General features: G+C 48.8%; 1 protein-coding gene and 1 pseudogene across 2 annotated transcripts in view, besides 2 other annotated features; both read right to left on the bottom strand.

The window, feature by feature from the left end:
- NCMAP (non-compact myelin associated protein) overlaps window positions 1-17,268 on the bottom strand; it is a 53,242-nt gene that overhangs the window by 34,669 nt on the left and 1,305 nt on the right. Inside the window, exon 1 of one of the 2 annotated variants that reach the window (XM_011541463.3) lies at window positions 9,231-11,128. The exons of the other annotated variant lie outside the window; for it this stretch is intronic. The gene's annotated coding sequence lies outside the window, so the exon portion shown is untranslated. Of the gene's footprint in view, window positions 1-9,230; window positions 11,129-17,268 lie in introns of those variants that run through there. 2 annotated transcript variants of the gene reach the window in all.
- Window positions 4,900-5,402: an enhancer, noted in NCBI's record as "NANOG hESC enhancer chr1:24895749-24896251 (GRCh37/hg19 assembly coordinates)". NCBI's record gives its function as "activates a minimal SCP1, AML or CMV promoter by ChIP-STARR-seq in primed H9 embryonic stem cells {active_cell/tissue: H9 hESC(primed)}" and the evidence as "EXISTENCE:reporter gene assay evidence [ECO:0000049][PMID:30033119]".
- Window positions 6,553-7,054: an enhancer, noted in NCBI's record as "H3K4me1 hESC enhancer chr1:24894097-24894598 (GRCh37/hg19 assembly coordinates)". NCBI's record gives its function as "activates a minimal SCP1, AML or CMV promoter by ChIP-STARR-seq in primed H9 embryonic stem cells {active_cell/tissue: H9 hESC(primed)}" and the evidence as "EXISTENCE:reporter gene assay evidence [ECO:0000049][PMID:30033119]".
- RPL26P8 (ribosomal protein L26 pseudogene 8) lies at window positions 10,689-11,063 on the bottom strand (annotated as a pseudogene).

Raw genomic sequence — 17,268 nt, 5'->3', positions numbered from 1 at the left:
GAGCTCAGAGTCCTGGGACATGGTATATGTCGGAGTTCTCCAGAGAGACAGGATCAATGTGTTATACAGATACAGAAGAGGGGACTTACTAAGGGAATGGGCTTATGCAATCGTGGAGGCTGCGAAGTCCGGTGACAGGCTATCTGCAAGCTGAAGACCTTGGGACATCAGGAGCGTGGCTCAGTCCAAGCCCGAAGGCCTCAGCACCAGGGACACTGATGATATAACTCTCAGTCCCGTTGGCCGGGCGCGGTGGCTCATGCCTGTAATCCCAGCACTTTGCGAGGCCGAGGTGGGCAGATAACTTGAGGTCAGGAGTTTGAGACCAGCCTGGCCAACATGGTGAAACCCCGTCTCTACTAAAAGTACAAAAATTAGCTGGGCATGGTGGCACGCACCTGTAATTCCAGCTACTCAGCAGTCTGAGGCAGGAGAATCACTTCAACCCAGGAAGCAGAGGTTGCAGTGAGCCAAGATTCCACTGCACTCCAGCCTGGGCAACAGAGCAAGACTCCGTCTAAAAAAAAAAAACCCCTCTCAGTCCCAGACTGAAGGCTTAAGCACCTGGGGGCCGCTGTGTGGGTCCTGGAGTCCAAGGGCCAGGGGGCCTGGAGTTCTGCTGTCCAACACAGGAGATGAGCGTATCCCAGCTCCAGGAGCTAGACTGACATATTCCCCCTTTTTTCTGTTTTTTTTTTTTTTTTTTTGTCCTCTCTGGGTCCCCAGCAGAGTGCATGGTGCCGCCCACACTGGGAGCGGATCTTCCCCGTCTAGTCCACTCAGACTCGCTCGCTAATCTCCTCTGGAAACACCATCACAGACACACCCCAAAATAATGCTTTACTAGGTTTCTAGGTTTCTTTTCTAATTTTAATTATATTTTTTCTGGAGATGGGGTTTTACTATGTTGCCCAGGCTGGTCTCGAACTCCTGGGCTCAAGAGAGCCTCCTGCTTCGGCCTTCCAAAGTTCTGGGATTATAGGTGTGAGCCGCTGCACCTGGCCGGTTTCTAGGTTTCTCAGTCCAGTCAAGTTTTTGTTTTTGTTTTTGTTTTTGTTTCTTTTTTGTAGGGGGGACAGAGTCTTGCTATGTCACTCATGCTGGAGTGCAATGGTGCGATCTTAGCTCACTGCAACCTCTGCCTCCCAGGTTCAAGTGAGTCTCCTGCCTCAGCCTCCTGAGTAGCTGGGATTACAGGCACACACTGCCACGCCTGACTGATTTCTGTATTTTTAGTAGAGACAGGGTTTCGCCATGTTGGCCAGGTTGGTCTTGAACTCCTGACCTCGTGATCCACGACCTTGGCCTCTCAAAGTGCTGGGATTACAGGAGTGAGCCACTGCGCCCAGCCCCAGTCAAACTGACACCTAAAATTAACCATCATAGACACTGATGCCTTGCCCACTACAGAGCTAAGCTCAGGGGTCTGTGTTTGAGCCGAACCACCTGGTTTCAACGTGATATGAGTCCTGTCCCTGAAGGCTGATGGGGCCTGGGAGAACCTCAGGTGTGAAGGCTGGGAGGACCCAGGTCTGCCCCATAGACAGGCGTGGAGGTGTGTGAGCAGGGCCTGGCTTTCCTAGACCTGGGGTGTAGAGGGTGGACACTTCCCACACAGTCATGGTTGCTCCTTCTGGGTGCCTTTTCCATGCCCACCACTGGGCATGGGCTTCATGTTCACAGTCCCATTGGATCCTTATCAAACTCCATTCTGCTTCACACCCAGGGTCACTGAGGCTCAGAGAGACTGAGTAAATCGTCCAAAATCACAGAGCTACTGGGGCAGGATTGGGATCCAGTTTTCTGCTTCCCAAACCAGGGCCTGGCAGCACCCATCCTGCCCGCTCCTTGACGTGCCAGAGGAAAAGTGGAAGAGACTTTTAGGACGTGCGGAACGTGCGAGGCAAGTGTGAGCTGGGGGTCCAGGAAATGCAAACATGAGCAGGAACGAGGTTTGGGGAAGGATGTGGTGGGTGTGCTGGGGTGCTGAGCTCTCCAGGGGGCCTGTGTACTCCTAGGAGGAGGGGGCTGAGCAGTGGGGAGGGGCGGTGAGTGTGTGAGCAAGTGTGCAAGCGAGTGTGCCTCTGTGGGCTGGTGTGTCCAGAGCCGGCCCTGGCACGGGGAGCTTGGCCAGGCGGGGCTAGCAGGTTCTTCACTTCCTCTCTGAGCTGCCCAGAACCATATCTGTTACCCACAAACCATAGCAGGTGCCGAGCTCAGCCCCAGCCTGCACCATTCAGTGACCACTGACTGCCTCGGGAAAGAGCAGGTCAGAGGCACAGGAAGGAAGGGTCTGATGGGGTTGGAGCCTCAGACCTGACATTTACCTTGGACGGGAGAGTCCTTCTTGGGGATACGGAGCCCATCTCTACCTCCAAGTCATATCCCAGTGGGGGAACGCCCTCAGTGTGATCCATCCACCCTAAGGTGGAGAGGATAGAAAAGCCCTCTCCCCTTAAAATCCATCAACTGTACAGCCACCCCAGAGAACTTTCTAGAAATACATCTGAGCATGCTCGCCGCTGCCCCAGCTTTGGATGGCTACTCATCAGCTAAGGTGAATGAAGTCCCAATCCTCAGCCAGGCTTTCACCACCCAGCAGCATCTAGATCTGTGCTGTCCAGCGTGGTGCCCCTGGCCACGCATGGCTATTTGAGCCTCGGAAATGTGGCTGCTGTGAGTTACAATGTATTTTAAGTGCAAAATGCCCATGGAATTACAAAGACTTAGGACAAAATAAAAGAATGTAAAACATCTCATTCATAATTTTTTTCTTCCAGGCGCGGTGGCTTACGCCTGTAATCCCAGCACTTTGGGAGGCCGAGGCAGGCGGATCACTTGAGGTCAGGAGTTTGTGACCAGCCTGGCCAATATGGTGAAGCCGTGTCTCTACCAAAAACACAAAAATTAGCCAGGCGTGGTGGCGCACACCTGTAATCCCAGCTACTCGGGAGGCTGAGGCAGGAGAATCTCTTGAACCCGGGAGGCAGAGGTTGCAGTGAGCCGAGATCGTGCCATGTCACTTCAGCCTGGGCGACAGAGCAAGACTCCATCTCAAAGAAAAAAAAAGTATATATATGAAGTTTTTTTCTATTGACTACATGTGGAAATGTTCATATTTGGAATATGCTGGGTTACATAAAATATCAAAATTTAGCCTGTTTCTTTTTTCTTTCTTTCTTTTTGAGACAGAGTCTTGCTCTGTCACCCAGGCTGGAGTCCAATGGCGTGATCTCCACTCACAGCAACCTCTGCCTCCTGAGTTCAAGTGATTCTCCTGCCTCAACCTCTTGAGTAGCTAGGATTACAGCTGTCCACTACCACGCCTGGCTAATTTTTGTATTTTTAGTAGAGACGAGGTTTCACTATGTTGGCCAGGCTGGTCTTGAACTCCTGACCCCGTGATCCGCCTGCCTCGGCCTCCCAAAGTGCTAGGATTACAGGCATGAGCCACCGTGCCCAGCCTTCTTTTTACTTTTTTAATGTGGCTACCAGGACATTTACAATAACATATGTGGCTCACATTATATTGGACAACACCAAACCACACTCTGTCCTTCTCTCTTTGCTTTATACCCAAGGACGCTGGGAACTCCAAGAGAAGTCTCAATGTCCCTCGTTGTGAAGCAGAATGGGGTTTGATGAGGATCTAATGGGACTGTGAACATGAAGACCATGCCCAGTGGTGGGCATAGCAGAGGCGCCCAGAAGGAGTAATTATGACCGGGTGGTAAGTGTTCACCACCCACACCCCTCTCCTACCAACACCAACTCATTCATTTGTTCATACATTCATTCATTCAGGAAATATTCATTAATCATATATTATGAGCTAGAGACTGTGGCACTGAGCAAGGATCGGGCACAGGGCACCTGGCATGTACCTTCCCCCCATGTGTGGTCTGCATCACCAGGAGGCAGATGAGACACTAACACAGAGGTGCCGTGAGCTCAGAGGCTGAGGGTTCTGAGCAGGGGCCTGGGGGAGGGCAGGCCACCTGGAGCAGTGGAATTTGAATGGCACCATGGGGTCATTAAACTCTTCGGCTGTGGGGTCAGACTGACCTGGATCTGAATCCCAGGAATATAATAATAGCTTGTATGTACTTAGTTCTAAGCGCTAAGCCCCCTGTTAAGTACTTTGTTTGTTTATGTATTTAGTTTTTGAGTGAGATCTTGCTCTGTTGCCCAGGCTGGAGTGCAGTGGCACAATCACGGCTCACTCCAGCCTTGACTTCCCCAGTTCAAGGGATCCTCCCATCTGCACTGCCCAAGCAGCTGGAACTATAGGTGCAAGCCACTGCACTCGACTAATCTATAAAAAAATTTTTTTTTGTTAGAGATGGGGCCTAACTTACTTTATGTTTATTTGATTGTTTCTAAGCAAAAAGCATATTGTTTGTTAAAATTTCTAGCCTGGGCATGGTGACTCACGCCTGTAATCCCAGCAGTTTGGGAGGCCAAGGTGGGCAGACTGCTTGAGCTCAGGAGTTCAAGAGCAGCCTGGGAAACACAGGGGGACCCCGTCTCCACAAAAAAAAAAAAAAAATTTCCAGGTGTGGTGGCTCACATCTGTGGTCCCATCTAGAGGTTGAGGTGGGAGGATCACTTGAGCCCAGGAGTTCAAGGCTGCAGTGAGCAGTGATTGTGCCACTGTACTCCAGCCTGGGTCACAGAGCAAGAAAAATTGTCTCAAAAAAAAATTTTTTTTAAGTGAGGAAACTGAGGCCCAAGGAGGTTAAGTAACTTGTCCAAGGTCACCAACTGAGGAAGGACGTGACCCCAAAGAATCTGACTTCAGAGTCTGCACCATGTTTTGAGGGCTTGAAAGTAAGAGGAGCATTTAATGAGCACTTACTGTGTGCCAAGCACTTTTCTAAAAACTTTATAAGTAAGCTTTTATTTGTATAGTTTAAATTTTTATTTGTATAACTCATTTCATTCCATGCCAGCCCTAGGAGGTGGGTATCATTATTTCCATTTTACAGGTAGAGAAACTGAGGCCCAGAGAGACTAAGTATCCTGAGGTCACACAGCCAGTGAAAGCGGCAGAACTAGGTAGAACTTAGGCCAAGTACACCACAGTTCATGCTTTTGACCACTCCACTTTACTGCTGCCGCTCAATCAATGAACATTGTTACTATTATCATTTGACTGGGACTTTATGAGGTGGGAAGGGAAGAATGCCAGTCTAGCTGGGAAGAACAATGGGAGTGAAGTCTGGGGAGGAGGGGGTGGGAATGGGCACATTAGGGAAGGAAAGTGTAGGATGTGGTGAGTGGGTGGGAGAGTGAAGGTCCCAGCACAGTGAAGTCTAGTGCCCAGGGAGGGCCAGAGTGGAACCTAGATTCAAGAAATATGTTGGGACTGGACATGGTGGCTCATGCCTGTAATCCCAGCACTTTGGGAGGCTGAGGCAGGTGGGTCACCTGAGGTCAGAAGTTTGAGACCAGCCTGGCCAACATGGTGAAACCCCGTCTCTACTAAAAATACAAAAATCAGTCGGGCATGGTGGCAGGCGCCTGTAATCTCAGCTACTCGGGAGGCTGAGGTGGGAGAATTGCTTGACCCCAGAGGTTGCAGTGAGCTGAGATCGCACCATTGGGCGACAGAGCAAGTCTCCAAAAAAAAACAAAACAAAACAAAACAAATATATTAGGAATTAAAGCTGTGGAAGAACTTCCTCCACAATAAGAAACTAGCATGCTCTGGGCTCTCAAGAACCCCTACATTATGAGCCGGGTATGGTGACGCATGCCTCTAGTCCTAGCTACTTGGAAGGCTGAGGTGGGAGGATCTCTTGAGCCCAGGAGTTTGAGTCCAGCCTGGGCAATATATCGAGACCCCTGTCTCTAATAACAACAACAAAAAGGATCCCTATTATGGGATTCAGTTTATTATGGATTCAGTTTGAGATGCTTGAAAATGAACCAGTAGTGGTCAGAGCCAGACTGACCTGGCTCGGCTGGGTGGCCTTTAGAAAGTTACTTAACCTCTCTGTGCCTTCATCTCCTTTTCTGTAAAGTGGAGGTAATAACAGGACCCTCTTCATGGGATTGCTGTTTAATACTACTACTAATAATAATAAATATAAAGTCTCTGGCAGTGTTTGGCACAAAGCAGCCCTTTAATATATTTCCTTTCTCTCCCCTCCTCCACCTCTAGGAAGATCTCCCCAAACCCCCAGCCACATGAGAATCGAGGTTAAAATCAGCAATGGATCTAGCATCACCGAGGTCCCTGGGGACCCCAGGTCAGTAAGGTGAGGGAGGAAGAAGACAGGGCAATGTCAAGCCATCCAGTTTCCAAATGTGTCTAAGACTGAGAAAAAGGAATAACTAGAACTTGTTTCCCTCTCCTTCCTGCTGTGTCAACTCTGAGTTATATAACTGAGCTTCTCTGTGAGGTGCCCCGTGCGGGCCTCCAGGAGGCAGGGTTGGCAGTGACATAAATAAATATTTCTGTGCTCTCTGCCCCCGGGCTCAGGTTCTGAGCAAATACCACAGCCTGAGAGGGAGGCCGTGACAAGGAGGAAGCTCTGGACTGTGAGTTGCCCCGTGTTCCAGGCCCAGCCCTGCCTGGAAGGATGTGAACGGGTCACAGGCGGGTGCCTAATTAGGTGACGAGCGGTCACGGGAGTGTGACCTGGAAGGAGAGATTCCAATACGGCCAGGGCGTCGCGGAACCCTCGGTCGATTCTCTCTATGGGTAGAATCAAGCCCACTCTCCTACCCCACCTGGTGTTCAATGCCCTTTACACTTCAGCCCCCGCCACCTCTCTCCTGCCTCCTCTCCCATCCCACCTGGGCACCCACATACTCCACACCCTGGCTCCTTGAGACTATTGAGTTTTCCCAAGGTTTGTCCCCTCTTTGGGAATGTCCTCCACTTCTTCCCTCCTCCATGAACTAGAAAGAGGGTGGAGACAGAGATCAGGACTTTAGAATTAAATTGGGGATTGAACTCCGGCTTAGTTATGTCCCCTTGGGCTCACAACTTAGCCTCCATGCCTGTTTCCTCAACTGTAAAGGAGGCTTTGCGACTCCTCTCTAGTTCCTTCTTGTTACACTCAAAGGAGATGATAATTGTTAATATTAAGTGTCAATCACTTAGCCTTACTGTATAGACCAGGCCTGTGTAAGGGTTTTGTGTGCATAAGTCACTTAGCAGTGCACGTTAACCCCCTAGCAGAATGCCTGGGCCCTAGTGGGTGCTGATAATGTCAGTTTCCTTTTTCTCCAAGACCTGCCCAAAGCCTCTCCTCCTATCTGAAGGAGGTCAGCCTCCTCTGAGACTCTTCACAGCATCTCATAGGTACCTTAGTTATAGCACTTATCACCTGAAAGTGTTGTTATCAGTAGGGAGGTCCGGCTTCCTTTCTATTCTAGGTGCTCCCTGGGGGACCTGCCTTACTTATAGCCATCCTGCCAGCACCCAGCACAAGGCCTGCTGTTTAGAAGGCACTTGAATGAATAAATGCGTGAATGCATGTGTGCGTATGGGCTGCGTGGAAGAGATGGGGTTAAGCAGGTGCCTGAGGATGGGTTGGCTCCGAATATACGCTTAACTCTCTGGGGTCCGGATCCCTGAGCTCGGGGCCTGGACCATCACAGCCCCTCTCAGCTCTGTGCAGACTCAAGGGACAAGTCACAGCCTCCTTTGTACTTTTACATTGCTTGGACTTGGATATTTTTCTAGTAAAAAACCAGGATATTTGTCCTGGCAAAGGGTTTTTGGGCCATGAGGCATCCAAGAGGGGATCTAGAAGCTATGGACTGGAATTTCCAGAATTCAGGTTTATGAATCATAGACTCACCTCTACAGTGCCTAGCCTGGCCTTGCACCCAGCATACAATAATTGTCTAATAAATGCTTAGTGGATTTGAGGCAGTGTGCTTTTTATGCCATTGTGGGGCTGGGATATGTCACTGTGAAGGAATAGAAGCCTCCAGCCTCTTCCCTGGGGAGCCACTTGTTGAAGGAATTAGAATTACAGACCTTTGCTTTCTGCACAGTTTCTCCATTGTTCCAAAAGCAATGATCATTTCCAACTTGCTACAGAATAAAGTTCTAATGATCTGTTGTGGGAATCAAGGTCTTCCATGAACTTGCCTCAGTCTTATTCCACCAGCCCCTGTCTCCTCTTCCCTTCCCCCGCCAGGCAGAATGAGCAATTTCCTGTCTCCAAAACCCACCAGTGCTTCCCAGCTATGCAAATTGCAGTTTCCAAAGACAGCCTCATAATATCTCCCATCCCATATTCTCTCCTGCAGTGTGACCCGGCCACTGCCCACATCAAGAGGCAGAGTCCATTTCTCCACTCCCTTGAAGCTAGGTGGGCCCTGTGACTGCTTAGACCACTAGAATATGTCAGAAATGGCCAGGCGCATGGCTCATACCTGTCATCCCAGCATTTTGGGAGGCTGAAGTGGGAGGATCACTTGAGCCCAGGAGTTAGAGACCAGCCTGGGAGCATTAGTCTGTTTTCTTACTGCTATAAAGAACTGCCCAAGACTGGGTAATTTATAAAGGAAAGAGGTTTAACTGACTCGAAGTCCAGCATGGCTGTGGAGGCCTCAGGAAACTTACAGTCATGGAGGAAGGAGAAGGGGAACCAAGGTAACTTCTTCACAAGGTGGCAGGTAGGAGAGGTGCCAAGCGAAAGGGGAAGAGCCCCTTACAGAACCATCAGATCTCATGAGAACTCACTCTATCACGAGAACAGCATGGAGGAAACCACCACGATGATTCAATTACCTCCATCTGGTCTCTCCCTTGACAAGTGGGGATTAAGGGGACTATGATTCAAGATGAAATTTGTGTGGGGACACAAAGCCTAACCATATCACTGGGCAACAGAGTGAGACCCCATCTCTACAAAAAAAATGCAAAAATTAGCCAGGCATGATGGTGTGCACCTGTAGTCTCAGCTACTCAAGAGGCTGAGGTGGGTGGATTGATTGAGCCAGGAGGTGGAGGCTGCAGTGAGCCATGATCACGCCACTGCACTCCAGCCTGGGTGACAGAGTAAGACTGTCTCAAAACACACACACACACACACACACACACACACACACACACACACAATCTTCTATCACTTCTAAAAATGGCCAGTGTCACTTGCCATTAATAGAAGGTAACAATGAAATAAATTAGATGAAATAGATCAATGTCATTAAATTCTAGCTAGACAATGTCACCTCCCAACCTGTCCAAGCCTAGGACTCACTCTCTCCTTGTTGAAAAGAGAACAAGTGTTGCAGTGACATTGGTACCCAGACTCTGGGTTCCAATATCTGGGCAGTTACAGTGTATCAGCTTCCAGGTCCCTGGATCCAGGATGTATGTGTCCTTGAATTCAACAGTTCCCTGTCAAGTTCAGTTTCAACCTCCAGGGCAGCCTTGAGATTCCTCCACTTTCCTGGTTATGGCAGATGCTGTAGCTCCCCAGTCTGGCCAGTTTTGCAGTATTTTGGGAGCCTCTAGCCTTTCCTACATTAAAAAAAAAAAAAAAGGTGTATAAAATCCCCTCCTGCCTAAAATGCCAAATACTGCTTCTATTTCTTGCACTGAAGCCTGACTTCCCACAGTTCTTGCAGGATCTCCTGAACATTTCTTTCATTATTTATTTCCTGCAAGAGTATTTTCAATGTGGGTCTTTGTGTATTCCACCTTCTGAGGCTTTATTTGCCTAAGAATATTTTTATTATGACCTCATGTTTGAATGACAAATTGGCTGGCTTTAAAATTCTGGATTGAAAGAGTTCTTTTTTTTAAATTACTAGTGACATCACTTCTTTGACTTTATCGGGTATTGCTGTTGAGAAGAATAATGCCAACCCAGTTCTTGTTCCTCTGTACGCCATCTGTTATTTCTCCCTGCTCTTCTTCCTGGTCTTTCATATTCTTAATTTCCCCCTGATACCTATGTGTGAATTTTTCCTTATTCTTTTCTACTGTTGGTTACTCTATGAGCTCTTTCAATCTGTACTCATTTAAAAAACATTTTTGGAACATTTAAATCTCCATTATTTCGTCAATTATTTATTTCCTCATCTCCACTTTTATTTTTCTTTCCTTTTGGGAATCATACGTATACTCTCCATCTCTCTCAGGTTTTTTTTTGTTTTTTTTTTTTTTTTTTTGAGACAGAATCTCACTCTGTTGCCCAGGCTGGAGTGCAGTGGCGTGATTTCAGGTCACTGCAACCTCCAGTCTCCCGGGTTCAAGTGATTCTTCTCTTGCCTCAGCCTCCCGAGTAGCTGGAATTACAGGCGCCCACCACCACACCGAGCTAATTTTTGTATTTTTAGTAGTGATGGGGTTTCACCATATTGGCCAGGCTGGTATCAAACTCCTGATCTCAAATGATCTGCCTGCCTCAGCCTCCCCAAGTGCTGGGATTACAGGCGTGAGCCACTGCGCCTGGCCTCTCTCAGCTTCTCTTTTCTATGTGTTGTCTCTGTTTCTTTCCCTGTTGCTTTTGGGGATAATTCTCAATCTGATCATCCTATCTACTCGCAAATTCTTCAGTTGTATCCATCCTGATATTCAGGCCATCTATTATGTCTTTTATTTTTTAAATCTTAAATTTTTCATAGCTAATGTTTTGGCTTGATTCTCTCTTATGACTTTTTTTCCTGTTCATTGCAGCAGTTTTTTAATGAAAGATGTATGTAAGATTACTTTATTCCTACATCTTCCCAATTGCATTTTCCTTGTATTTGGCCTTTTCTGTTCCTACTTGGTGAGATTTAGCTTTTGGCTCAAGGATCTCAGTCTTTGTTCAGGGTTAAGAGCCCTGCTGGGGCAAATGGCCAGCCTTCTCCCGCTGCATATGTCCAGTGCAGACAACGTATTTCTTCCCATAAACTTGGACTACTTTGCTAATTTGCTGACCTCTATAGTGTCCTTGTGCAAACTGAGCTTCTTCATCCTTTCAGATGGGCATGGACCGAACATTATATTTCTGTCTCAGCTCTTTGGAAAAAGAAGACATAATCTTCCTGTAAATATGGGAAGCTGCGTTAAAATACCGCTTATGGTTCTTGTGAGAGTCACAAAGATTTCTTGACTTTCAGAAGTCACTGAATTTCTTTTTCTTTCTTTTTTTTTTTTTTTTTTGTTGTTGTTTTTGAGAAGAAGTTTCTTTATTGTTGCCCAGGCTGGAGTGCAATGGCGTGATCTCGGCTCACCGCAACCTCCGCCTCCCAGGTTCAAGTGATTCTCCTGCCTCAGCCTCCTGAAGTAGCTGGGATTACAGGCATGCACCACCACGCCCAGCTAATTTTGTATTTTTAGTAGAGACGGGGTTTCTCCACGTTGGTCAGGCTGGTCTTGAATTCCCAACCTCAGGTCATCTGCCTGCCTCGGCCTCCCAAATTGCTGGGATTACAGGCGCAAGCCACCTTGCCCGGCCAAGTCACTGAATTTCATTTTGGCCACCGTTGCTTCAGTGATAGCTGAGAAAGGGAAGTGCCTGTGACTTTTTGTTCTTGTATTATTTCATGAATTTCTTCCTTTATCTCCTTAAGTATAATCATGCTTTACTTTAAAATCTTGGTCCATCTGCTTCGGTAATTCTGCTCTGAATGGCATATGTGGTTTGATTTATCTTTCTTTTGTAGTAGCTGCACTTCTCAAGTGTCTAATTATTTTGGCAGGTGAGTTCCTGTCCCCCCCCAGGGATGCCAGCTCTCTGTCTGGTAATGTGCCCTGGAGAAAGGGCATAAGGAGGGGGAAGGGATGAGCCCCAGGGCAGGAAGCTTCCTTGGCTTTTCTGCCTGGCACTCTGCCAAGTTCACCTTTAAGTTCCCAGAGAGAAGCAGGCTCAGCAGGAGGTAGACTCTGCTTGGGAGTTTCCCCCAGCTGGGGGTGGGTGTGGGGGTGGGACTGTAGGGGCATTAGTGGAGAAGTCAATGCCTGATCCCTTGCCTGTTTTTATAATTCCTCACTCCAGCATGGCTGTAGCTGCCAATATCTGCACCAAAGTGACAGGCAGTGATTGTTTCAAGACAAAGAGCAGGGGACCTGAAGCAGGTGAGTTTCCCTGAAGGGCAGAATAGTGGAAAGGGTAAGAGTTCAGGCTCCGGGGTCTGTCAAGCATTTGTTCATTCCACATGGAAAGCTGGTATGTAGCGGGCATTGTGTTGGGTGATAGGGAGACAGTGGGGAACCGGGCACAGTCCTCACCCTCAGGGAGGTTACAGTCTGACAACAAACTAACAGACGTGGATCCATGTTGGCACTGCCAGCTGGGCAACTCACTTAGTCTTTCCAAGCCTCAGTTTCTTCATCTGCAAGATGGAGATGATAATAGCACTCATTTATAGGGTTCCTGAGGCTTATCAGGAGACAAGGCTGCAAAGTGATTCGTAGAATGCCTGGCACATTAAAGGCTCTCAAAAATGTTAATTATTCTTGTTATTATTGTGACGAATGACGCTGTTACTGGGAATTAGGTAGGAACTTGGAGCTGCTTAGAAAAAAGATAAATGAATTGCTTTTCATCCTCTGGGCAAACCAGTTACCCTTAGGAGGCAGAACATTCAGAATTTCAAAGAAGGAGGATTGAGTAGGCATGGATCTTAAAAAGTTGAGGTAAAAAGCAGCAAGGCAAAGAAACAAAAAACCAAGTTTCATTTTCCAGCAAGAACTATTAATATCATTAAAGGTGTTCAGATTTTGGATAACTGGTCTCCTTCTCCAGTTCTTTGTCCCTCCCTCCTTTTTCTTTTTTTTTTTTTTTGAGACGAAGTCTCGCTCTTGTCCCCCAGAGTAGAGTGCGGTGGCATGATCTCAGCTCACTGCAACCTCTGCCTCCCAGGTTCAAGCGATTCTCCTCCCTCGGCATCCCAAGTAGCTGGGATTACAGGTGTGTACCACCACACCTGGCTAATTTTTTATTTTAAGTAGAGACAGGGTTTCACTATGTTGGCCAGGCTGGCCTGGAACTCCTGACCTCAGGAGATCTGCCCGCCTCAGTCTCCCAAAGTGCTGGGATTACAGGCATGAGCCACCGCGCCCGGCCCCTCCCTTCCTTCTTTCTTGCTCAAGGCAGTACTGTGAGGTTAGAGCTTCCACAGTGAAGGGCCTGGCTGGAGTTTCATCCCTGTGCTTGTTAGCTGGAGGACCCACGTCTCCATTAGGTGCAGGTGGCATGATGCCCAGATTACTTTTAGGGTCCCACAAAAAATGTTTTTATTTCTTTTAAAATCCAGAGGAAAAAGCGACTTTCAGGTTGAAGAAGATGTTTTGATATACCCATGCAGTCATATAAATATCACTGTAAGTATTTCTTTTTCTTTTTTTGAAACAGACTTTCACTCTTGTCACCCAGGCTGGAGGGCAGTGGTGCGATCTCGGCTCACTGCAACCTCCGCCTCCCCCATTCAAGTGATTCTCCTGCCTCAGCCTTCCAAGTAGCTGAGATTACAGGTGCTCGCCACCGTGCCCAGCTATTTTTTTTTTTTTTTTTTTTGTATTTTTAGTAGAGATGGTGTTTCCCCATGTTGGCCAGGCTGGTCTTGAACTCCTGACCTCAGGTGATCCGCCCTCCTCGGCCTCCCAAAGTGCTGGGATTATAGGCATGAGCCACTGCGCCGGGATGATTTTAAATATTTCTTATGGGGCATGGGTCCCATGAAGGCAAAATCGCCCCAGGCTCAGGGAAGTCAGAATGCATCCCCAAGGGCACCATGGAACAATAATACTCATCTCTGGGGGTGTTAAAGGGCCAGGGCTTGTATAGCATTCTGCACTGTGTGGGCACCTAAGAAGCTCTCCGCAAGCAAGTTAACCATTTGTTTTCCTCAATGAACTGCAAGTTGAAACCTTAGGAAACCCCCATGAGGGTCATGGGATTGGGCACAGCAGCGAGGGGAAAAGTTGCACAACTGCTTTTTTTTTTTTCTATGAGATAGGGTCTTGCTCTGTCACCCAGGCTGGAGTGCAGTGGTGCCATCACAGCTCACGACAGCCTCAACCTCCTGGGCTCATGTGATTCTCCCACCTCAGCCTCCCGAGGAGCTGGGACCACAGGTGCACAACACCACACCTGCTAAAGTTTTTGTTATTTGTAGAGACAGGGTCTCCCTATGTTGGCCAGATTGGTCTCAAACTCCTGGGCTCAAGTGATCCTCCTGCCTTGGCGTGAGCCAACACCCCGGGCCCACATTTGTTTTTTATTACACGACAGACTAAGGAAACACCCCAGGTGGAGGAACAGATGAAAACTTCAAAGCAAGGCCACTGTGTTCCAGGGTGTGCACGAAACCAGACAGGCAGCAAAAAGAGCTCTTTCTGAATTCCCAGTGCAGGTGTCAGCAAGCCCTGAAGAGGTGGGCTGAGTGAATGAACAAATGAATGAACCAATGACGAGTGAATTGTGGGACGAATTTTTAAATCCTGAGGTTGTTTGCCCCAAAAGGTAGCTCCCCAGACACAAGTTTCTTCAGAGGCAAAGGGAAACAAATTTTTTTTTTTTTTTTTTTTTTTTTGAGATGGAGTCTGGCTCTGTCGCCCAGGCTGGAGTGCAGTGGTGCCATCTCGGCTCACTCCAAGCTCCGCTTCCCGGGTTCACGCCATTCTCCTGCCTCAGCCTCCAGAGTAGCTGGGACCACAGGCGCCCGCCACCACGCCCGGCTAATTTTTTGTATTTTTAGTAGAGACAGGGTTTCACCATGTTAGCCAGGATGGTCTTGATCTCCTGACTTCGTGATCCACCTGCCTCGGCCTCCCAAAGTGCTGGGATTACAGGCGTGAGCCACCGCGCCCGGCCACAAATTCTTAATAGATGATTGCAGAGGGTACTATCGTCTCTGGTTAAATTAGGAAACTGAGGCTCAGAGAGGTGATGTGGCTTGAGGCAGAGTACAGGGCTTAACGCCCTGCTCATCTCTGCCTCCTCGGGGCTGTTACTTGGAGCAAAGCCCTCCAAGCCCAGAGGCCCCAAGCAGGTACCAGCCCCGCAAGGGCCCCCACAGTTCAGATGTGTCCAGCCCAGGCAGGAGGCCCTTCGGAGAAGGCCTGAGCCCAGCTAGAGAACAGGCCTCTCTGTCTTAGAGGTTGGCACACCCTCTGTTCCTTCCTTAGACTAAACTGCAGCCACTACCTCGGGGAATTTCAAACCACATGAGAAGGTCCAGCCCCACTAGCCAGCTCCCCCTCTGGCTCCGCCCCCTCAGCTTCACCCACACCCCTGCCCTGCTCAGGACTCACTGCTGGCTCTTTTCTTGGCTCAGCCCCTTTCCTTCTTCCTGCCGCCTCCTGCCCACCTAGGATCTATACTTCTGATTAGGAATTCTTTTCAGTGTAAACAGCAAGAAATCCATCCTGCTAGGTCCCAAAGCAAACAGCGGGACTCCAGTGGCTGAGATGCCAATGACTGCCTCAGGAGACTGGATGGATGGAGATGGGGAAACCGATAGGGGAACTAGAACAAGGCTTGGAGGTTGTCCAGGACAAACAAACCGGCCGCTGCTTCCGGGCTGACTTCAGAGGCCCTTGGACAGCAGCATGCAAAGTGGACATCTTACCACAGGCACTTCTGGCCAGCAACAGGTTTAGCCCAAATTACAGAAGTTCTGTTTTGGATATTTCTCTTCAATATCAAATATATATATCTTTTTAAAAGTCAGGTGAATAGATGTAATTTGGGGTCTTTCTTTTCATCATACATGAGGTTTTTTTTTTAAGAAATTAAAAGAGTTTATTGGGCAACTTAAAATCCACTTTACCTTTCTTTTCTTTTCTTTTTAACCTTTCATCCCAATTTATTGGATGACTGAAAAATAAAGGGAAGTGTTGCTGCATTTACAATTCCTGGAGAACGCCACCGCTTACTGAGTGTGGAAAGCTGTTGGAGTTAGGAGAAATGGTCTTCCCCAACTCTACGTGACCCTGAACATCACGTCCAGATCCTGGTTTGCAAACCCTGAGAGTGACAGTGCGCTCCGCTCCCTGTAGAGATCCTGTCACCTCTAACACACTATGACCCTGTGTCCCAGGAGCAACAGGATGAGGGGGGGTCAGCTTGGACGTCACTTTCTCCTCTGGGAGCCCAGGGAACAGTGACATAGTGTGAGGCCTCCCCTCATGTGTCAATGTCTAGCACTAGATCCTTCTCTGAGAAAAGGCATTGATGATGGCAGGAGAAAGGGTGGAGGTACAAAATGTGAGAGAGGGGATGGGGACAGTGGGGGGACCACACGATGAAACAAGAAGCTCATGGTCAGTGTTGTCGGAATCTCCTCTCTCAAAGCCAAAAGCTCCATCCTCAGCCTGGGTGGATGCATTCCACATAGATTCCTTGAGCCCCTCCTGTGAGCCACACACCATGCTAGGTGGGGACAAAGTGAGAAGCAAGGCAGCCTTGCTCCCTGCTTTTCTAGAGCTTAGGGCAAAACACCGATATTAAACAAGGGTTGTTGGCAATTATGGAAAGTGCTACAAGGAGAAGCTTCGAACTTGGCCCCCTTAGGGGGTCCAGCGCCTCCCAACTGTTCATGTACTCCTCCAGTCTCCACCTGCACTTTAGAACTTTGCTTCTCACATATTCGTGGTCAACCCAGGGAGATGGAAACCCACTGCAGCTGCCTGCCAGGACGTCACAAAACTGAAACTAGCTTTGCTTAGAGTGGCTCTACCTCAAGGACACAGCTCCTTCCTGACTTCAGGCAGGAATGGCCATAGTCCACATGGTGCTACGGAGCCCAGGAACTGGCCCAGGGGATAAGCTGTTGATAGGAAACCACTACACTAGATTCCCACAGAGCCCAGCCAGTTCCTCAAGCCCAGCTCACTATATGCCCAGCTCACCGCACGCGCCGCGGCTGGCTGGCTTGGCACCATGCTGCCTCCCCACAGCTCATCTCGGCCCCAGCCAGCACAGAGCCCAGCAGGGACAAGGTGAAGAAAGCCACAGGCCATGAAGGGGTCATGGGAACCCCCTTCCCATTTCCTCCTCCCCTCCCACCAGGCATTCATGGTCCTTTGGTGTCTCTTGGCTGCCCTTCTGTCCCCTCTCCCCACTTAGAGGACATGAGTAAAGGTATTGGCCTACCTAGAGTTCCTGCCCCATCATCCACTCCCACGGGCTGATGGGACTCAGGATTCCAGGGTATTATGTGCCCTCTTCTATCCCGGTGCTCTGGCTGTGCCTGTCACTTTCTACTACCACCACCAACACACACACGCACACACACGCACACACGTGCACACACCCACATGCACACACATGCACACAAGCGCACACACACACACATGCA

Source organism: Homo sapiens, chromosome 1 (assembly GCF_000001405.40).
Source record: "Homo sapiens chromosome 1, GRCh38.p14 Primary Assembly".
Lineage (NCBI taxonomy): Eukaryota > Metazoa > Chordata > Mammalia > Primates > Hominidae > Homo > Homo sapiens.
The sequence above is the reverse complement of the archived record's forward strand: the minus strand, read 5'-3'. Positions and strand labels throughout refer to the sequence as shown.